This window comes from Homo sapiens, chromosome 2 (genome assembly GCF_000001405.40).
Source record: "Homo sapiens chromosome 2, GRCh38.p14 Primary Assembly".
Taxonomy (NCBI): domain Eukaryota; kingdom Metazoa; phylum Chordata; class Mammalia; order Primates; family Hominidae; genus Homo; species Homo sapiens.
Genome location: NC_000002.12, coordinates 85141064 through 85162306, shown reverse-complemented (window position 1 = coordinate 85162306; position 21243 = coordinate 85141064). Strand labels below are relative to the sequence as shown.

At 45.1% G+C, this 21243-nt stretch overlaps 1 protein-coding gene across 2 annotated transcripts in view, besides 1 other annotated feature; it reads right to left on the bottom strand.

Annotated features, from left to right (window-relative positions):
- TCF7L1 (transcription factor 7 like 1) overlaps window positions 1–21243 on the bottom strand; it is a 176996-nt gene that overhangs the window by 148081 nt on the left and 7672 nt on the right. The window lies entirely within an intron of this gene.
- Window positions 2239–2829: an enhancer, noted in NCBI's record as "H3K27ac-H3K4me1 hESC enhancer chr2:85386601-85387191 (GRCh37/hg19 assembly coordinates)". NCBI's record gives its function as "activates a minimal SCP1, AML or CMV promoter by ChIP-STARR-seq in naive H9 embryonic stem cells {active_cell/tissue: H9 hESC(naive)}" and the evidence as "EXISTENCE:reporter gene assay evidence [ECO:0000049][PMID:30033119]".

The following is a 21243-nucleotide window of genomic DNA, read 5'->3' as shown; positions in this document are numbered from 1 at the left end:
CAGAGATTCTGGGCACAGAAGTCAGGCATGCGGACTTTCTTTTTTTAAAATTATTTATTTATTTTTTTTGAGAGAGAAGGGTCTCCCTCTGTTGCTCAGGGTGGGGTGCAGTGGCGTAATCATACTTCACTGCAGCCTCAAACTCCTGGGCTCAAGCAACCCTCCTGCCTCAGCCTCCAGAGTAGCTGGGACTACAGGCATGCATCACCACACCCAGCCAGGCATGTGTATTCTGATTTTTTTTTTTTTAAATCTCAACTTTTGGGGGAACTTCAGGGCACTGCTCTCCAAACCTCTATCTTGAGGGCAGACCACCAGGCCTGTGGCCCAACACCTGGCTTGCCTTGCTGGGCCTGCCTCGCTAGACCCTCAGCCTCTGTTTCCCATGTGGGACTGTTCCCCTGGCTCCCCCTCCGGCTCTGTTTGATCACCACAAGCCTCTGAGCTCTGCCTCGAAAGACCCAGCCACGCCCAGCCCTGCTTCCAGCCCTGGCTCCTGCTCTCAGGCCAGCATCCTGGCACCAACCTGACCAAGTGGATGACCCTAGAGTGCAGGCCCCACCACAAGTTAATCACCACAAACCCGCAGGCCACAGTGTGGAAAGGCACTCTCATCCTTTTACCCTGGACCAAAACTGCACAAAGATAGAAACAGGGACTTCTGTGCTCCTTGAGCTTCACGTGTTAACCTGGCTCCCCAGACCAAAGACCAACACCGCAGGGGTGAGTTCATCCTCTGCCAACAGCAATCTTTCCCTTCCTCTGAGGCCAGCCATCCCCATCCCAGGAGGCAGGGGAAGCAAGCCCGGGGAGGGCAGGAGAGCTCCCAGCTCAGTGAAGCAGCTCCACCGGCCCCGAAGCACCTCCCTTGCTCACAGCTCAGAGCCCAGCTTCTCCCTGCTGCAAAGATAACTGCAGCCTTCAGACTGACTTCCATGCCCCTCTAGCTAGGGCCCATCACTTCAAGTTCAGGCGCCAAAAACCAAGAAAGTAAATCACACTTCATAGACTTTATTTACCTTAAAAAATTCCTGAGTTCATTCATGTCTCCAAACCACTAGAGAACCTGAAAATTCACCAGGAAATTGGGCAACTGCAAGTTATCCTGGAGACTCCAGAGTCAACACTTCATTAAATGAGAACAATCTGGTTCATGCGTTGAAGCTGTTACAGTAATCAGGGCGACATGGGCAGGGGAAGCGATTTTTCTGAGGACAAGGCATACGGTAAATCCTTAGCTCTACGGATGCTGGTGTATTCCCAGAAGTCGGCCCACTAAGGGCATGCATGTACCTGTGGGCCAGTGGACTGTGGTCCTCATTCCTCCACACGGACAGACCCCGACAGCCACCCCTGTTTTACACCAATTAAACAGGAATGATGTGCGGGTTCTCATTGATGATTGCAAATGATCTTCTGGAACAAAACTAAGCGGCTTCTTTTTTCTTTTCTTTTTGAGACAGAGTCCTGCTCTGTCCCCCAGGCTGGAGTGCAGTGGCGCATCTAGGCTCACTGCAACCTCTGCTTCCCAAGCTAAAGTGATCCTCCCACCTCGGCCTCCTGAGTAGTTGGGACAGGGGCTTGCTACCACACCTGGCTAATTTTTGTATTTTTTGTAGAGATGGGGTTTCGCCCTGTTGCTCAGACTGGTCTGGAACTCCTGGGCTCAAGCAAGGAGCCTCCCACCTCGGCCTCCGAAAGTGCTAGGATTACAGGTGTGAGCCACTGCACCCAGCCTGCTTCTTTTTTTAAAAAAAGGTGTACCAAGACTTCAAAAAATAAGGCCGAGCGCAGTAGCTCACACCTGCAATCCCGGCACTTTGGGAGGCTGAGGTGGGCTGATCACCTGAGGTCAGGAGTTCGAGACCAGCCTGGCCAACATGGTGAAACCCCATCTCTACTAAAAATACGAAAATTTGCTGGGCGTGGTGACACATGCCTGTGATCCCAAGGAAGATGGGAGGCTACAGGAGAGTGGAGGTGATTTGCATGTCTTTATCCTACATCAGAAGGTACCAAGGACATTTCTCAGAAGATGCACACAATGCGGCCAACAAATCTCTGTTGGAGTGTTGGAGAACAGAGCAGTGGCTGCCAGGGGGAAGGAGGCATGACTACAAAGGGGTGGCACAGGAGATTTTAGGAATTTGGAACTATAGCAGTGGTTACATGAATCTGTACATGTGTTAAAACTCGTAAACTGTATACCCAAAGACTCAATCTTTCTGTATGCTAATTTAAAATTTTTGAAAGGAAAAAAGCCTTTAGGTAGAGTGAGAAAAGCACTGGCTGGAGATGGGACATGGCGTGAACTCCCCCACCATGTGACAGTGTCCCAGGTGCCTGTGAAACCTACAGAGCCAGTGGGCATCGGTCAGGGAGCCTGGGGACAGGAGGGGGCCAAACAAAGGGGGAAGCAACAGAGACGCTTGTGGAGGAAGCTGGGTCCCCCTGGCACACGAGAAAGCCAGCAAGGAGGGACTTTGTGAAGGGCAGAAGGAAACCAGCAAGGCCGGCAGGATGTCAGGCCAGGCCTGCTGTGAGAGGGACTTGGAGAAGGCCAGATGTTACACTTCACCCTAAGCATCCCAGGGCGCAAGCCTTCCCACAGGCCTTGGGTCAAGGAAGCCTGAAGGCGATCTTGAATTTCTCTGGGGCTTCTCCCATCTCCAGTAGGTCAAAGGGCCAGTACCACAAGCAAAGGAGAGGGCAGGCACTGGTCTGGAAGGCACCAGGAACTGCCAACCTGTTTCCTTTCACATTCCCTCAGATCTTCCCAAGTGCAGGCAGCCAATGTGTGCCCTTCCTGGTCCTTTCTGCAGAAGGTTTCACTGGGCATGCAGACAACCACCACAACTTGGTAAGGCCGGAAGAAAGGCCAAAAGAGGACAGTGCCTGCACAACTGGTCCCTGAGTAGCCCAGAGCAACCAACAGACAGCTAAACCTACAGAAGCTGCAGGCTGAGCAGGAGACCAGGTTCCCGAAGTGAATGGTCTGCCCAGGGAGCCCCGGGCGCCTGGGCACCATCAGGAGGAGAACACAGGCTCGAGGGGTGGTCTGTAAACCCTAGGAAAGGCCTAAAAGGCTGGGAAGAAGCCGCAGACACTGCAGGAACACCAGGAAGTGTTTCCTGTCTCAAACGCCAATCTCTCTCGGTCCAAGACTCCCCTTTTCCTGAAGCTGGAGCCTGCTTCTATTTATTGATCGAAGGCTGAACCGCACTGTCCACGGTGCTACAAAGCCCTCCTCTACCACAAAGCCGGGTTATGCTTCAACATCCTCGCAGCCAACTCTGAGACAGCAACTTGCCTGGGGTTAAGACAATTTGTAACCAGACATGGAAATGCAGGTAGATTTAAAGACACATTCTTCAGTAACAGAGATCTACCTTAGGGTGGAGCAAACCTTCCGAGGACAAACAGAAAGTGTGGCTGGGTCCCAGCTTGTGGCAGTACCAGGAGGCCCTTCAGTAGGTGAGCTGTGGCCACAGGGCCTGGACCACCTCCAAAGGGCCGGCCTTCAACCAAGGCCTGACAGAGAGAAATTAGCATGCTGTTCTGCTCAATTATCCACTTACAGAGAGGCATAATCACATTTTCTTAAAGCTGGACATGTAGATGAAAGATATGTCCACGATAGAAAATCCCGGGAGTTTTTTTCCAAAAGAGATAAAAACTTTATCACACCTCCGAAACTAACCTGACCTGAGCTATCATGATTTTGGCAATAGAGACACAATGACTTTTCTTAGGACTCAAATGTGAGCTTTCTTTCTGCCCCCAACCTCTCTCAGGCAAGAGTTTGGGCAGACATTATTTTTAAACAGGCTCATATCACCCCAAGACAAAATACATTGAATAAGCACTAAGACAGCCTGCAGGGGTTTGGGCCTCGGAGTTCTGGACTGGCTTCAGCTTCACACGGAGTCATGTGCATGGTCTCCTGGACACCAGACCCAAAAGGAGAGGGGAGAGAGAGGACTCCCAGAGGGGACTGGGTCTCCTATGTTCTAAAGTGCCATGCTGGTGGGCACGGGAAGTTAAATGAAGTCATTTACCAGTCCGTTTGGGTTTGGCTGCAGAAGCCAGAGCAGGAGTCCTGGACTAGACTGGGGTGGACGTTGAGGGCCATGCACCACACTTGCTGTCAGCTCTCCTAGCCCCTGCCCCGCCTTCTGCCCACTCAGCTAGCACCTTACACCACTATGGCCAGGAGTCTGTAAAGCTGACCTTCCCAGGAGCAACTCCAGTCCTTCCTCCTTCCCTGGAAATGCCTGCTTTCCTCTGTCCGCCATGTAGCATTCTGAGTTCCCAGGCTCTCTCCATCCCAGAAGGCACCTCTAAAAGCCATGCCCCCATCTGCACAAATGATGAACAATTACCACTAACTGCCCCTCACCTCGCATTAACCCCGAGACCTCCCTTAAGGAGGGAAGGAGGGAGAGGAGGGGAGGGGAAGGCAGGAGAGCCAGTCAGGGCCCCTCCATCCTGCCCCTACCCAGCTCCCCTGGTCCTTGCAGGTAGATTGGCCACCATCATTCTTGCTCTTCACCCAGAGGCCTCCTAAGCAATGGCTGCAGACCCGAAAACCCCATGGGTTCAATAGCTCAGGGCCTCTTAGGGACAAGGTTCAGGCATTATTAACCATTTCCAAACTGGAGTTTCAGAATGCAACTATTGGAAGGAACCCCATGGGTCCCCAGTTCAGCATCTTCACTGCCTTGTCCCTCAGGCTTACACAAGCTGTCAGCATGGCCCTGGGGGAGGTGGTGCCACATGGCAGGGGCTGGGTGAATCTGGTTTCCAAGCCAGTCCCTGCCCCAGGCTTGCTGAATGGCCTCAGGCAAGGATCTTGACCTCTCTGGGCCTTGATTTCCTCTTGAGTAAAGGATGAATAACCAGTTCCTACTTGCAGGGTCATTCTGAGGACTAAACAAAGTAATGCATGCAATATTCCTCTGGGACACAGAGAACACCCAAAGAATGAGGGTTCTCAATCTAGCAGTAGTTCGGAAAGAACTATTATCACTGCAAAAAGCACTGTTCAGAGAAGCCAGAAGCCCAAGTTCTGGGCCTGCTATGCTTCTCAAGAGCTTTGTGACATTAGGAACACTGTTCACCTCTCTGAGCCTCAGTTTCCTCAACTATAACTAAAATTCAAATGGGTCTCTAAGGCCTCTTCCAGTAAATAAATATATACTGAATATGTTTTTATTTGTGTGTATATATAATATGTGTATATGTACACCAGGGATTCTCAGCCTCGGCTATGGACATTTGGGGCCAGATAATTCTTTGTTGTGAGGAACCATCCTATGCATTGTAAGATGGTTAGCAACATCCCTGACCTTTACCCTCTAGATGCTAGTAGAATGTGCCCCCAGCCCCACCCAAGTCTAACCAAAATATTTCTAACCAAAATATTTCTAACCAAAATATCTCCAGGCATTGCCAAATGTCTCCTGGGCAGCAATGCTGCCCCAAGCTGAGAACTTATTCATCATGCACACATGTGCATGCATGCGCGTATACACATACACACACAGAATAATAAGATGCGAACTTTGATACAGTGAAGAGGTAAGCTGGTGAGAGCAGAGGAACTCAATTTCTGTGTACAGAGGCCTTGAAATGTGCTCATGGAAACTTTACAGGGAATGAGACTACAAACATACACAGGACTTTTGAGCTTCTTTACATCTGTAAAACGGTTACTGTGCTCGTAAAGACTGCCTGCAGACTTAATTTGGCATATACATACAGAGTCCCATTTAGTGCATAAACGCACTGGCCCCAGAGCTCCCCACATCTGGTCTGCCCTGGTCAAGAATGTACTGGGAACTTGGCCTGGGGGAGACGAACACAGGGGGATTCTGTGTGCTCCCTTCCTGAACACTCGCCTTGAGCACCCTGGAGGAAAAGGAAGCTGAAGCTGGACTGGGGCAGCAGGCTGCGGTGGTCATTCCTGAGGAAGAGGGCATTTTGCCAAATGTGCAAATCCCTTTGACTTAGTGGATTTGACCAGACTTCTCAATGTACTATTTTCCTAGTTCAGCAGAGCTTGGTGAATGAGGCTTGTGCTCACCGACATGAGACCATAGACGTACATACCTACCCACTTGGCTCACTGAAGTAAAAATGAACAATTATCACGAAGACGGAACACAGAAGTTCCAAAGAGGGACTGGTAAAGTGGAGGAGGGGAGGTGAACATCAGCTTTAAAGAGAAGTCTGTTTACCCTGAGTCTTTAAAGGCCAGAATCCTGAACTCCTTTTTTTACCTCATTATGACTTCTTTAACATTTGTTTTTAATTTATTCAAGATCATAATCTTCACTGAGGACCACATATGAGCCAAACTTGAACTTGAAAACCAAGCTGGGCCTTTTGTTCTGCCTGCGTTAATTAGTGTACAAAGGGGCATCTGATTTCCCCCCTCCCCCAACAGTCTAAAACACTGGTTCCTATTTATGTAACTAACAATGTTAGAGTGGGGTGCAGACGGGCCTGGTGGGTAACTGGCCCTAGGACAGGTATCAGGAAATTAACGTCCTAATCCTGGCTGATTCTCTGTGGGCCACTAAGACAATCTATTTCAAGTGCTGAGCCTCATCTTTAAATTAGTTAACAGTTCCCTGTTAGCTGAAAACATGAAGTAAATTAACTAGAATTATGAAGATCTATAGTATTCTAGTGATTTGTACTTGAAAATGAAGTACGAAGACTAGAGCAGTTCCATAGACCAATCTATGGTTCTCAAAGTGGGTTCTGTGGAGCACAAGTCCCACTGTGTCCAGAATTGGTTCCTTCCAGTGGGTTCATGGTCTCGCTGACTTCAAGAATGAAGCTGTGGACCTTCACAGTGAGCGTTACAGCTCTTAAAGGTGGCACGGACCCAAAGAGTGAACAGCAGCAAGATTTATTGTGAAGACCGAAAGAACAAAGCTTCCACAGAGCGTTGCTGCTGCTGCTGGCTGGGGTGGCCAGCTTTTATTCCCTTATTTGTCCCCGCCCATGTCCTGCTGATTGGTCCATTTTACAGAGTGCTGATTGGTCCATTTTACAGAGTGCTGATTGGTGCATTTTACAAACCTCTCGTAAGACAGAAAAGTTCTCCAAGTACCCATTCGACCAAGGAAGTCCAGCTGGCTTCACCTCTCACCATGAGATGCTACTTGGAGAAAAAATGTTCTGCTGGGTGTGGTGCCTCAGACCTGTAATCCCAGTACTTTGGGAGGCCAGGGCAGGAGGATCACAAGGTCAGGAGTTTGAGACTAGCCTGGCCAACATGGTGAAACCCCGTCTTTACTAAAAATACAAAAATTAGCCAGGCATGGTGGCACGCACCTGTAGTCCCAGCTACTCAGAAGGCTGAGGCAGGAGAGTTGCTTGAACCCGGGAGGCAGAGGTTGCAGTGAGCTGAAATTGTGCTACCGCACTCTGGCCTAAGCAACAGAACAAAACTGTCTCAAAAAAAAAAAAAGTTCTATGGGTGCCTCACTCACTTGGACGGCAAATACTTGTTTGACGGCCTTCCTTATATCTGGTGCTGAGAACACAGGAGGGAAGGAACAAAACAAATCCACTGCCTGCCTTCTTCAGTGAGTTTAAGATCCAGAGGATCAGATCATTATTAGGCCACATATTTACCGACAGTGAAATGTGCTCAAGTACAGAGAGCTGAGAACTTACAGCAGGGAAACCACATCTAAGGCTGGGAGGCAGGGAAGTATGAGGTGAGACTTACGCATGGGGTGACGGGGAGTAGGTGGAGGGGTAGTATTCCAAACACAAGGAAAGCCTTGGTCAAACAAACCCAAGGAATCCTGCATAATACACTCCCTTCTGTGAGATTCACTGGCATGTTAAAGGCCTGAGAAGTCCTGCAGAAATGAAGCCCAGCACGTTCTACCTAATAACATCCCAAGGATGTTACTCTGGGAAGTACTTAAAGAGGCACTATTGTTCTCATAGCCTATAAGAAACTTCAGTATAAAACAAAAGCTCTTGTTCATATAACTGGAAAACTATCATGTGTCCTCTCAGAGCAGCCAAAATACCTTGGAGTTGCTAATGTAATTCTCAAGTATTTTCCTTGGCACAGGCCTATAAAACGATATGGCCTCTACAACTGCTCACATACTCCCAGTAACACAGATGAAGGAAAGTCCATAGCACAAACCAGCGAGCCAGATTCAATGTTCTAACTCTAGCACAGACCTCGGCTTTATTTATTTTTAAAGGATGTACAGCCTCAATTCTGGGACGAATTGAGAAAACTTCCATAAAAAGCAAAATAAAAATGAACAACCACCAGTAATCAACTTATCAAAAATTACACATGGAAAGATACCCGAAGTGAACAATGATTTCCCTTGTTAACCTAAAATGTCTAAGAGGAAGACAGCTTTTGCTGTTTATTTTATTACATACTGTGCATAAAAAAGAGGGAAATGTAAATCAACAGTAACAGATATTCACACATATGCAGAAAGAAGGCAGACTTTGTGTGCAAAGAATGGTGTTAGCGACAATGATCATCAAAAGAGAAATATGACAGCCAACATACTTAAGAATATGTATTCTAGAAAACTAGCAATCCAAAATTAAACATAAGTTAGTGTCCTAGGAATAGTGCAGTGTAGAGATTAAATTTTATAGAGGCTAGCCGGGTGCAGTGGCTCACGCCTGTAATCCCAGGACTTTGGGAGGCCGAGGTGGGTGGATCACAAGGTCAGGAGATCGAGACCAACCTGGCTAACACGGTGAAATCCCATCTTTACTAAAAATACAAAAAATTAGCCGGGCGTGGTGGTGGGCACCTATAGTCCCAGCTACTTGGGAGGCTGAGGCAGGAGAATGGCGTGAACCCGGGAGGCGGAGCTTGCAATGAGCCAAGATCGTGCCACTGTACTCCAGCCTGGGTGACAGAGCAAGACTCCATCTCAAAAAAAAAAAAAAAAAAATTTATAAAGGCTAGCAAGATCATGAAACCCAGGACCACTAAAACAGATAATGAGTTTATCTTAACAAAACCCTTGCTGTGTGTGCCAGGCACTGTTCTACATGCTTATATGCAACCTTATTTAATCTTTGCAACTATGAGGTAGATCCTGGGAATACATCAAAGTATGGCTTCAGCCTATACTAGTCAATGGAAATCTGTTATCCAGCTTTAGCATGAATCTTCAGAAGGACTGAACTTCTGCCTGATTGATGATGATGTAATCACATAGGTGACCAACATATCCCATCCATGTAGCAATGTGAGAACTAAGGAAACGAAGCATTGTTCAAATCTGCTGTCATTATCTGAGCATGCCCTTTCAAAAACAGGTAAACATTCCACGTGCAACTTGAGTGAAAATCTCCTTGTGACCCTTATCTCTTGAAATGTATCAGTTGGTAGAAATATATATATGCTTATTTTTTGTTGAAAGAGTAAAATATAAGCATGAAAAATATTAATTTTATGTAGAAAGCAATTATCATGTAAAATTATACAACTATTAAGTAGGGGGATTGATGAACAGAATCACCAATATTAAGAGTACATTTAAAAAAAGAGACTAGGCTGGACGTGGTGGCTCACACCTGTAATCCCAGCACTTTGGGAGGCCGAGATGGGCAGATAACCCGAGGTCTAGAGTTTAAGACCAGCCTGGCCAACATGGTGAAACCCTGTCTCTACTAAAACTACGAAAATTAGCCGGGCATGGTGGCACGTGCCTGTAATCTCAGCTACTTGGGAGGCTGAGGCAGGAGAATTGCTTGAACTTGGGAGGCTGGGGTTGCAGTGAGCCAAGATCGCGCCCCTGCACTCCAGCCTCGGTGACAGAGTGAGACTCTGTCTCAAAAAAAAAAAAAAAGAGAGAGAGAGAATGGTATATCCTTTTAGAGCAAATAAATGCTTATTGTTTTAAAATTACAATAGGCATATTATATTCTACCTCTAGTCGCTACAGAACTGCTTAGTGCACTCATAACATTAAACACAATAACCTTTAGTAGCTATATATGCAACCCTAGGGTTCAGACAGTGGTCTGTAAGTAACATTCTCCACTAAAAGAAGACAGAGCTTCTTCTAGAAATGGCCAGCTCCTGGCCTGGGACAAGAAATGTACAAGGTGTGCTGGAGTATCCTGCCAGACCAGTAAGCAGAGAAGCATCCAAGACCACCAGGATTGTGTCACAAGGACTCAGAAGCCAGCCTGAAGAGGCTCCCCCTGGCTAAAGATGGGACAGTTTGGGTATCAATAAGGATAATAATTGCAAATGGATTGAAAGACATTAAGTAGGTTTAAATCTATTTCATAATATTTTAAGCTTCATTGGTCACCTTTACAGGGTGCCATGAAACCAGGAGGAAACTGGTATATAAAGGGAAAGAATGAGGCATTTAAATTGCTTTCCCCATATGATCTAAAACAAGGGTCAGCAAATTTTTACTGCAAAGGGCCTGACAGAAAATCTTTCCAGCTCGGTGGGCCACATATGGCTTCAATCACAGCTAATTAACTGGGCACCTTGTAGTGCCCCAAAGCTGCCCTAAACAATATGCAAATGCATGAATATAGCTGTGTTCTAATAAAACTTTATTTATCAAAGTAAGTGGCAAACTGGTCTCAGCCTGTAGACTCTAGTTTGCTGACCTCTGATCTGAGGTAACTAAAGAGTTGGTGAGGGGTAGTTTCTCTTTTTAAAAATATTATAACTGATAGACAAGGGAATGATACAAATAGACTATCACCATTTTGAAACTGCAAATGAGGTAAAGGATGTGGGTGCTGATAATTAGTAGCTGCTGACATCACAGAGAGATAATCAGTATCTCTGATGGAAAACAACATCTATTATATGAAGCAGTCTTGCAAAAATAAGTTAAAAAAGGAGAGAGGGAATGGGAGAGAGAGAGAAACACTCTGAATCTTGACCAAAAATCTAAATCTAATAATTTTCAAGAACTTCAGTGGATAGAGCAACATGTTAAAAGATATCATGAGGTTGCACTTAGCAAAATCCAGACTGTGAAAAACTCCACAGGAGTCATCAAGATAAAAACCTAATTAGGAAGTTACTCACATCCTATGAAAAATGCTGAGCAGAATGTCAACTTTGCTATCTCAACATTTCGTAAGGAAAAAACTCCAAAATCTTGCAGTATAGTTTCTTGATAAATCATCTTTGATCCAGACATAATAAAGACTATAAAAGCTTCAGAGAAAATAAACCTGTTATTTTTTAAAAATGAGAGACCCCAAGATATCTCATACTTTCACCTTATTTAGTATGCACAAATATGTTCTATAGTGTCACAGAAACAATCTAGCAACTGAAAAAATTATTGCTCCTGCCCTACACTGTCAATTTTTAAAAACTGATCATCAATTTGGCAACTGTCACAGTGGAAATTGTTTCTGGCAAGAATCATCAATGGCCACTAAAACCATTGGGTAAAGGTTTGATGAGAAATGGGATATTTACATAGTCTCAAAGTATGTCCCATAAAGTACTGATTAATTACAAAGAAGAAAAGTAGTAACTTTCTTGGAGAAAGCTGGAACACATGATTTTAACCAAGAAAACAAAATTAGTATCACCTATAATGGGAAAAATAGATAACGTTCCTGAGGAGATACAATAAGAACACCCTATCTTTCCTGCCCAAAATGTACAACCTAAAGCTACTCATGAAGAAACACCAGAAAAAAAAAAAAAAGTCAAGGTTCTTCTGCAAAATAAATGGCCTGTAATCTTTAAAGAGTCAAGAACATGGCCGGGCGCGGTGGCTCACGCCTGTAATACCAGCACTTTGGGAGGCCAAGGCGGGTGGATCACGAGGTCAGGAGATCGAGACCATCCTGTCTAACACGGTGAAATCCCGTCTCTACTAAAATACAAATAATTAGCCAGGCGTGGTGGCGGGCGCCTGTAGTCTCAGCTACTCAGGAGGCTGAGGCAGGAGAACGGCGTGAACCCGGGAGGTGGAGGTTGCAGTGAGCTGAGATCGCTTCACTGCACTCCAGCCCGGGCGACAGAGCGAGACTCCGTCTCAAAAAAAAAAAAAAAGAGTCAAGAACATGAGAGACAGGCCGAAGAACTTCCAGACTAAAGGAGACTAAGAGACAATTAAGCATAAGATGTGATGTTGAACTCATCCTAAAGCCAAAAAAAATGAATAAATAAAAGTAAAAATGTTTTCCTCTTCTACAAAAGACATCTATCAGTAAGACAACTGGCAAAATCTTAATAAGTTCCATAGATGAGACAATTGTACTGTCTCTATGTTAATTTCCCGATTTCAGTAATTACACTTTGGCGAATGTCCTTGTTTTTAGAACGTATCTTGTCCCTTCATCTTATTTAGAGTCACAAATATGCTCTATAGTATCAGAGATGCAATCTAACAAATTATGCCCCCTTAAGTAAAGGGACATTACGCCTGCAACTTACTTGCAAATGGCTCAGAAAAAAGTTACAGAGCCGGGCGCGGTGGCTCACGCCTGTAATCCCAGCACTTTGGGAGGCTGAGGCAGGCAGATCACTTGAGGTCAGGAGTTTGAGACCAGCCTGGCCAACATAGTGAAACCCTGTCTCTACTAAAAACACAAAAATTAGCCAGGTGTAATGACAGGTGCCTGTAATCACAGCTACTTGGGAGGCTGAGGTGGGAGAATGGCGTGAACCCGGGAGGCGGAGGCTGCAGTGAGCTGAGATGGCGCCACTGACTCCAGCCTGGGCGTTGCAGCCAGACTCTATCTCAAAAAAAAAAGTTACAGAAAGAAGGCAAATTTAGGGGAAAGTACAAGGGAATTATTTGTGCTATTTTTGTATATTTTCTGTGACTGAAATTATTATAAAATTAAAAGTTAAAATGTAATTTATATTTATATACTATACTGCTTACATATATCCTACATATAAATTTCAACTTATTTATAAAGTTAGTGTGTGTGTGTATACACATATACACACATATGTGTATATGTGTATATACATATATACACATATACACACATATATATGCACATTATCTTGTTGATAGCTATTTGATCAAGAACTCACACAAACTGGCAATTATGTTAAAGTAATTTGTTAAGTTTTTGCAAAGGGAATTGACAACCATGTAAATTCAAAACCCGCACTAAATACTAATTGCTTTTGTTTATGCATTTCTGGCCTCTCCCCTGACTCCATTTAGTCATTTCCTATAAAAAAAATTTTAAGGGCTGGGCGCGGTGGCTGACACCTGTAATCCTAGCACTTTGGGAGGCCAAGGCGGGTGGATCACCTGAGGTCAGGAGTTCAAGACCAGCCTGGCCAACATGGTGAAACCCCATCTCTACTAAAAATACAAAAATTAGCTGGGTGTGGTGGCAGGCGCCTATAATTCCATCTACTCAGGAGGCTGAGGCAGGAGAGAGAATCGCTTGAACCTGGGGGGGCAGAGGTTGCAGTGAGCCAAGATCGCGCCACTTCACTTCAGCCCGGACAAAAGAGCAAAACTCCGTCTCAAAAAAAAAAAAAAAAAAAATTAAATACTGTAAGAAAAGATCCACTTGTTAAGATGCTGGTTAAAATATTTGGCTACTAAACATCTTAATAAAGTTGTGATAATACTGTATATTATTTTGGTAACATTTCTAATTTCTTTTTATATCCTGGAGATTCTATGATGCTGATATTTCATTTCAGCCTCGAACAACTCCTGATTTTAAAACACAGTCCATTCAGACAAAATGTTACTTCAGTGCTTCTCAAAGCATTATCTGTCCCCATTTATCATTATGACTATCATTATCCCCATTCTCCCTGAGGGGGGCCCTGGGGCATAGGGACACAGCCAACTCATGACGCGGCTGGGATTCAGTGCTCTGCAAACCCTGGTCAAAACCCAAGTTCCAGACCCCCCTAGACACACTGCCACCTGGAGGGACAAGGGGTGGCCTGTTAGTAGAATATTCTCCATCCCTCAAGCCTTGGGCTTCTTTCTTTCCACACAAGTTCCTCTCCTCTCTTTCCATGCAAGGTCCAAGGAACTGCTTATTAAAGGGCTGTCTCAGACTCCACAGACTCTCCCCATCCCAGCCCCTTCCTGCATTAACTCTCCTTTGCATCATCTGGGAACACCCTTGTGAAGATGACCCATTTTCCACTCCAAAGCTTCAGCACCAGCGTCTCACTCTCCCTAACAAGGATTTTATAACAAAAAAAGCTTATGTTGTAAAGTAGAAAGCAAAGTGTTTTCAGCTCATGCACTCTAATACTCCTACTATACTCTTACCCTCCCATGGTAACTCTCCTCTATGCATCCCACCCAGAACATAGTTTAAGTCAATAACATAATTAATAAGTAAAAACTACAGACAGTCCCTAACCTATGATGGTCCAACTTAATATTTTTTTGACTTTACGATGGGTTTATCCAGATGTAAGCCCATTTAAAGTCCAGTCGCATCTGTATATCCAATGTAAAGTTACACCCACACATGCACGAGGATGTGGGGCTGGTCAGGAGTATGAGCGAGGCAACAAACTAAGGCACCAAACAGATGCCCACCATTATTACATATGGTGTATAGATTTAACACCCAGACACCACCACGTCTGCCAGTGAGTGGATCCCCAAGGGCAGCTTCATCCACAAGTGGCACAGGGGCTACACCTTAATGCTAGGGTCCTGGGGCCCCTGGCCCAGCTGGGACCACCAAGATCCTGTCCTCCTCAATCTCTGGGACTGGGGCTCCCCTCCCTCACTTTCTCTGGAATCCCCTTGGACCCCAAGAGCCAGGAGTCCCCTCCCTGTCTTTCCTCCTCTCCCCATCTCCACCTAGCGCCCTACCACTGCCCTCATCTAGGAGGTGCTGGGGTTTGGGTTCCCACAGCATCACGTGGGGAGGGGTGGGGAAAGAGTGACAGGTGGGAGGGGGACACACAAGCAATCCCTAGTTCGGGTTGTATGGAAGATTCCACAGAGTGAGGACAGGGTGAGAGTATTTTGCTACCCGGACCCCCCACGAAAAGCTTCATCATGGACAAGAGAATAAGGACCTGCTGCAACCTTGGCCTGAGGTGGAGGACACGGCCTAGGCAGACTGCAGGGTTTCCAGATGTGAGACTACAGGGACTTTGAATGTGGCTGAAGAAATAGGCCTTAGTTTATTTATCCTGGGTTTTTAATTCCGAACTTTTCCAAACATACAGAGAAGTTGGGTGAATAGATTGATTGCCCGTGTATCTCCACCTAGAACTGTTAACATCTCACCTATGATATTTAAGGAACCAAGTGTACCACCTCAAAATATCATAAGAAAAACACAAGGGAATTTGGAGATTGGGAAAAACAGAATCAATAGAGCTGCACAGTGCAGAAAAGCAAAGAAAGATTAAGATAGCAATTAACACCACCTCTGAGACTGTAAATCAACCAGCTATTAAGGCTCTGATTCTACGTCAGGTACTAAAAATGCCTCCTAAGTGAAAGGGATAGAAATGCCACTGAAGCCAGGCACAGTGGCTCACACCTATGATCCCAGCACTTTGGGAGGCCGACGCAGGCAGATCACCTGAGGTCAGAACATCAAGACCATCCTGGCTAACACAGTGAAATCTCGTCTCTACTAAAAATACAAAAAAATTAGCCAGGCGTGGTGGCAGGCGCCTGTAGTCCCAGCTACTCAGGAGGCTGAGGCAGGAGAATCGCTTGAACCCAGGAGACGGAGGTTGCAGTGAGCCGAGATCGTGCCATTGCACTCCAGCCTGGGCAACAAGAGCGAAACTCCATCTCAAAAAAAAAAAAAAAAAAAAAGAAAGAAAGAAAAGAAAAGAAATGCCACTGAAAAGAATATATGCTGAGGGATGTTACTCATCTTTTACTTCTACACACCATTTCTTTGAATCTTGCCCCAAATGGCATTTTCATGCATTGTCACGTCAATTTGGCTCTCAATTTTCAGTGGAGGGAAATTGCAGCCCAGTGGAACCAGAATCCCCCACAGCTGGAATGCTGGCTCTATCACCTTCTGGGGAGGTGACTCTGGGCCTCTGGTTTACTGTCAAAGTCTTGGCTTCCTCAAGGATAAAATCGAGGTGATAATATCAGATGCACAAGAATTCAGTGTAGGAAGAGTTAGAACAGCGTGATATAGTGCCCTGGAACACTAAAGGTGCTTATGGGGCTATTTTTTAATATTGATGTTTAAATATTCATGTTGTCAACAATCAACAAGTGAATCGCTTATTATGAGTCAGGTGTTAGGTTTTAGATAAAGAAGTATTTCAAGGTGCATCATCTCAGCTGGGCTCAGTGGCTCATGCCTGTAATCCCAGCACTTTGGGAGGTCGAGGTGGAAGGATCACTTGAGCCCAGGCATTCGAGACCAGCCTGGGCAACATAGTGAGACCCTGTCTCTATTTTTTTTTAAATAAACAAAAAATAAAATAAAATAAAATAAAATAAAAACATAGCAAAAAGATGTGCATCATCTCCGGAGCACTGCTGGCTGTGTACTTCCCTGAGTGGTAGAAGATGAAGCTTTACCACTGTAGAGTGCAGCTGGACCCTAGTCCTGTTTCCATCACTCCTAATTGTTTGCCCTTGGGCAGGTCAACAACTGCCCTGAGCTTGTGCTCCTCACCTGTTGGGTGGGCGGGATGGTTCCACCTAGCTCAGAGGGCTAGAGGACACTCCCGCAGGGTCCTTGATAAGAATCTCAGGGACTAACACCCAACCACCTCTAGAAGGTATGTCTTGCAAATCCGGCTGAGTTTAATGACCCTGACATATCCTTTTTTGGAATTTACAGAGGGGAGTGTAGTCCCAAACATCAGAAAGCACTACTGCCAACAAATCTGGACTTGTAAATTGATCTGCTTTTCATACCACTCATTCCTACTTCATTTTTCTTCCTCATTATCAATGAGATCCATCTGTTCCTTAATCACAGTTGCCATCTCTCAAACTTACACCTTTCTGCTTTCTCCACACATTCTCTATGGACATTCCTACATATAATAGCCCCATTCACTTTAATGAGGTCTAAGATATTTATCTAAGATTTAGTGCCTTGCAATACCCAGGTCTCTAGGATGGCTTAGGTAGGACCCCAAAAGCCTCCCAACTTCTGTCAACCATATCATAAGCCCCCTTTGTTAATCTTTCCACCATGCTATTATTGGAAAGTAATTTGGGAAGTAAAGGAAAAAGTATGGAATGTCATGATTTCTTTTTTTTTTTTTTTTGAAACAAAGTCTCGCTTTTTTGCCCAGTCTTGGCTCACTGCAGCCTCTGCCTCCCGGGTCCAAGCAATTCTCCCGCCTCAGCCTCCCGAGTAGCTGGGATTATAGGTGTGTGCTACCACACCCAGCTAATTTTTTGTATTTTTAGTAGAGACGGGGTTTCACCATGGTGGCCAAGCTAGTCTTGAAATCATGACCTCAAGTGATCCTCCCGCCTCGGCCTCCCAAAGTGCTGGGATTACAGGAGGGAGCCACTGTGCCCGGTGGAGTTTCATGATTTCTAACCATCTTAAACATACATACACACACACACACATACACACACACACACACACACACACACACACAGAGAGAGAGAGAGAAAGGGGGATGGGAAAGAAGACAAATATCCCCTCTGCAATTCCCAAAATAACTGTGTAAATGTTTAGTATGTATTTCTTTATTGTTCAAAAAAAATTTTTTTTTTGAGACAGGGTCTTACTCTGTCACCCAGGCTGGAGTACAGTGGGGTAATCTTGGCTTACTGCAGCCTCAACAGCCTGGGCTCAAGCAATCCTCCCACCTCAGCTTCCTGAGTAGCTGCGATTACAGGCACACGTTACCACTCCTGGCTAATGTTTTTTTTGGTTTTTGTTTTTTTTTTTTTTTTTGTAGAGACAGGGTTTTGCCAAGTTACCCAGGCTGGTCTCGAACTCCTGAGCTCAGGCTATCTGTCTGCCTCAGCCTCCCAAAGTGTGGGGATTACAGGCGTGAGCTACCACATGCAGCCTAGTATGTATTTCCTTAATGGTCAATTAACGCTGAAATAGTCTTTTATAGATTTTTGGGACTGATTTTTCATTTGTGGAGAGCTTAAAGAAAGCAACCAATTTATAAAATATTTTATAAGATGAACCATAAGGAAATAATACTTGTACATTTGGTTCACCAGAGCTGGGTTAACCAAACTATGTTGTAATCCAAATTGTGAGTATAGTAAGTTTACTCCTCCAGCGTTCTTCCACACCAAACATTCGTTTGCGTATTCTTCCAACCCTCACCAATTTCAATGAGGAAAAACAATCCCCAATTTCCAAACAGGTCAAATGTTAGCAGGTAAGCACCTTTTCCTCGGATGAAGTTCCTGGGACAGCCCACGAAAGGTCATTAACCCCTCTGGGGCACTGCACTGGGGGAACAACTTCAACCACAACTGTCACTCGCTTCTACAACTGTTTATTCAGGAAAGTACATTCTCAGGTCCAATGTGTAAAGTTGGAACAAATCTATCCACCCTCAACCCCAGCTGATAACTCACACCAGGATTTCTGAACTGGGAAACAAAGGTCAGCTGCCCTTCTCTGGAGAGGAGGAGGAGCTAATTATATCAGGCATGTGTGTAAAATCACATGGGTAGAATGGGAGACCTAGACTTTGGACTCACAACCAAGTTCAAATCTTGGCGCCATCAATCACCATCAATGTAACCTTGTACGAGATACTTGACCTCTACAAGTCTGTTTGCACAGCAGCAAAATGGGAACAAGTATCTACTTCTTAGCAGGTTAGAAGCTATGAAAAACACTAAAGTCTTAGCAGCCATTGCCAAGTGCTTTCCAAATGGGGTGGAGCTATTTGCGCCCCTTAAGACCAGCCAAAAAGAGCAGCCGGAGCAGCCATTTTACCTCATATTTGCCAGCATTGAAGAGGCTTATTCAGACAAAATCATAATGTGGTGGGCCAAAGATGATTCTTGTATTAATTAGTATTTTTTGACTCCCTGGGAAGTTAAACATAGTTTCACATATTTGCAGCCATTTATAGTTGTTCTTTTGTGAATTTCATGTTTATGTTTATTTTCTACAATTAGGGTGAACACTTGGGGCCTTGTTCCTCCTCTTGAATAGAAATGAAAATATTTCCAAAAATGCTGTGACACAGTTTGAGAGCATGAGTGTGAGCTCATTTCCTGTCCTGAGGACCCCAGATAATTAGAGCTATTGCCTTTGACCATATCCACAAAAACTCCTGAAAAAGGCTATGTTTAGGAAAACATTTTTATGATTTTATTTCCAAACTTTGAAGTATACTTCTCAATTAGAAGATCATTTTCCTAATCTGTACATTATGCACACAATGAAAAGGAAAAATTTAGAAGTTTGAAATTTATTTGAGAACCTTAAACGTATCTGTCAATTGAGTGAGCTCAGAGCATTGCTAACACCTTGTGAGTCTCAGAAAGAAACTATAGAAGTGTCCTGGGGCTGTTCCCTGGGCAGTGCATACAGCACAGAGCAAAGGGCAAGTCCCCTTCACTCCCCTCATGGTTCCCTTCATTTCTGAACACCAAGGTTTTGGAAACTGCATTTATTTTATTGTTCACTATATCTAATCCGGTTTGGGAGAAATAATATAAAACATGGGATATATAAAAACCTCCTCCAAAAATAGATTAGAAAAGACAATCTGGGACGGTTTTCTATATGCTCTTAAGTGACCAGTACTTCCCCATCCCCAGTTACTTATCACTTCAATATCTCAATATCTGCCCCTAGCTACACACAAATTGTGTCTGTGTTGTGTGTGTGTGTATATATATATATATATTATATATATACACACAACACACACACACACACACACACACACACACACATTTTTTTTTTTTTTGGAAACAGGGTCTCACTCTGTCATTCAGGCTGGAGTGCAGTGGCGTGATCATGGCTCACTACAACCTCCATGCCCAGGCTCAAGTGATCCTCCCACCTCAGCCTTCCAAGAAGCTGGTGCCCACCACCATGCCCAGCTAAGTTTGTGTATGTTTTGTAGCAATGGGGTTTCGCCATATTGCCCAGGCTGCTCTCGAACTCGTGAGCTCAAGCAATCTGCCCGCCTTGGCCTCCCAAAGTGTTGGGATTACAGGCATGAGCCACCACACCAGGACACAAAGCGTATTTTGATGCTCTATCCCTCTTCAACATCAGCCAGCTCCAGATAATAAAAGGAGGGAAAATTTCCCAGGTGTGCCATGTCTTCCTTTCAATCAATACACAAACATTTCATTATCTAACATGTAGCTAAAAGGTTCCCAACATTTTGGGCTTTATGAGAGGATGGAGAGGAAGTTCCTGCAGTCTCCCTACTGCCAACAAAATTCCAAGGCCCCCACTCTAGCCAACTTGCCCTTGGTTTTCCTGAGAATACCAAGAAGCCATCTGGTCCTCCAATGCACACTATCCATTTCTGCCAACTCACCTCTGCATTCCCCTACAACCTCATCTTCAAGTCTTGGGCTCGTCTTTAAAGCTGGGGGGACACCTACTATACAGCACCCTCCACGGATGAAGTAAGAAGCCTACCTGCTTTTGAAGCTCTCAGTCTCACCTCCTCTTCCTCTCATCTTCTTTCCCATTCATCTTCAAGCCTGCCCTATGGCTCCTACAAACAGGCTCCCACTCCAGCATCCCAAATACACTTTCTCCCAAACTTGCGGCTCCTCCCTTTCCTCTTCTTTCCATAGCCAGGCTTTTGAAATGGGTTGTCGAGTCTTTGAGGTTCCCCGTGGTGGTACTGAGATATGGAAGGTACACCGGGATAGAAGGAGGAGGCTGCTTGAAACTGCAGGAGTCTGGTCTGGGGTTCCAGCTGAGGGGGAGGCACTGGGCCACACCTGAGATCAGTCTGCAGCTTGGCGCCTTGGCTATCCTATTTGGGAAGCACTGAGCTAATGTCTCTTCTCTCTACCTTTAACACCACCACTTGCCTGGAACACTTCCCTCCATGGGCACCAGTAACTTCCTAATAGCTGAATTCCAAAAGCTCCTCTTATTTTTTATTTTTATTTATTTCTTAGAGACAGGGTCTCACTGTCTGTCACCCAAGCTGGGGTGCAGTGGCACAATCATAGTTCACTGTAGCCTTGAACTCCTGAGCTACCACCATGCCCGGACAAGTTTTAAAATTTTGTTAGAGATTGGGTCTTGCAATGTTGTACAGGCTGGTCTTGAACTTCTGGCCTCAAAATA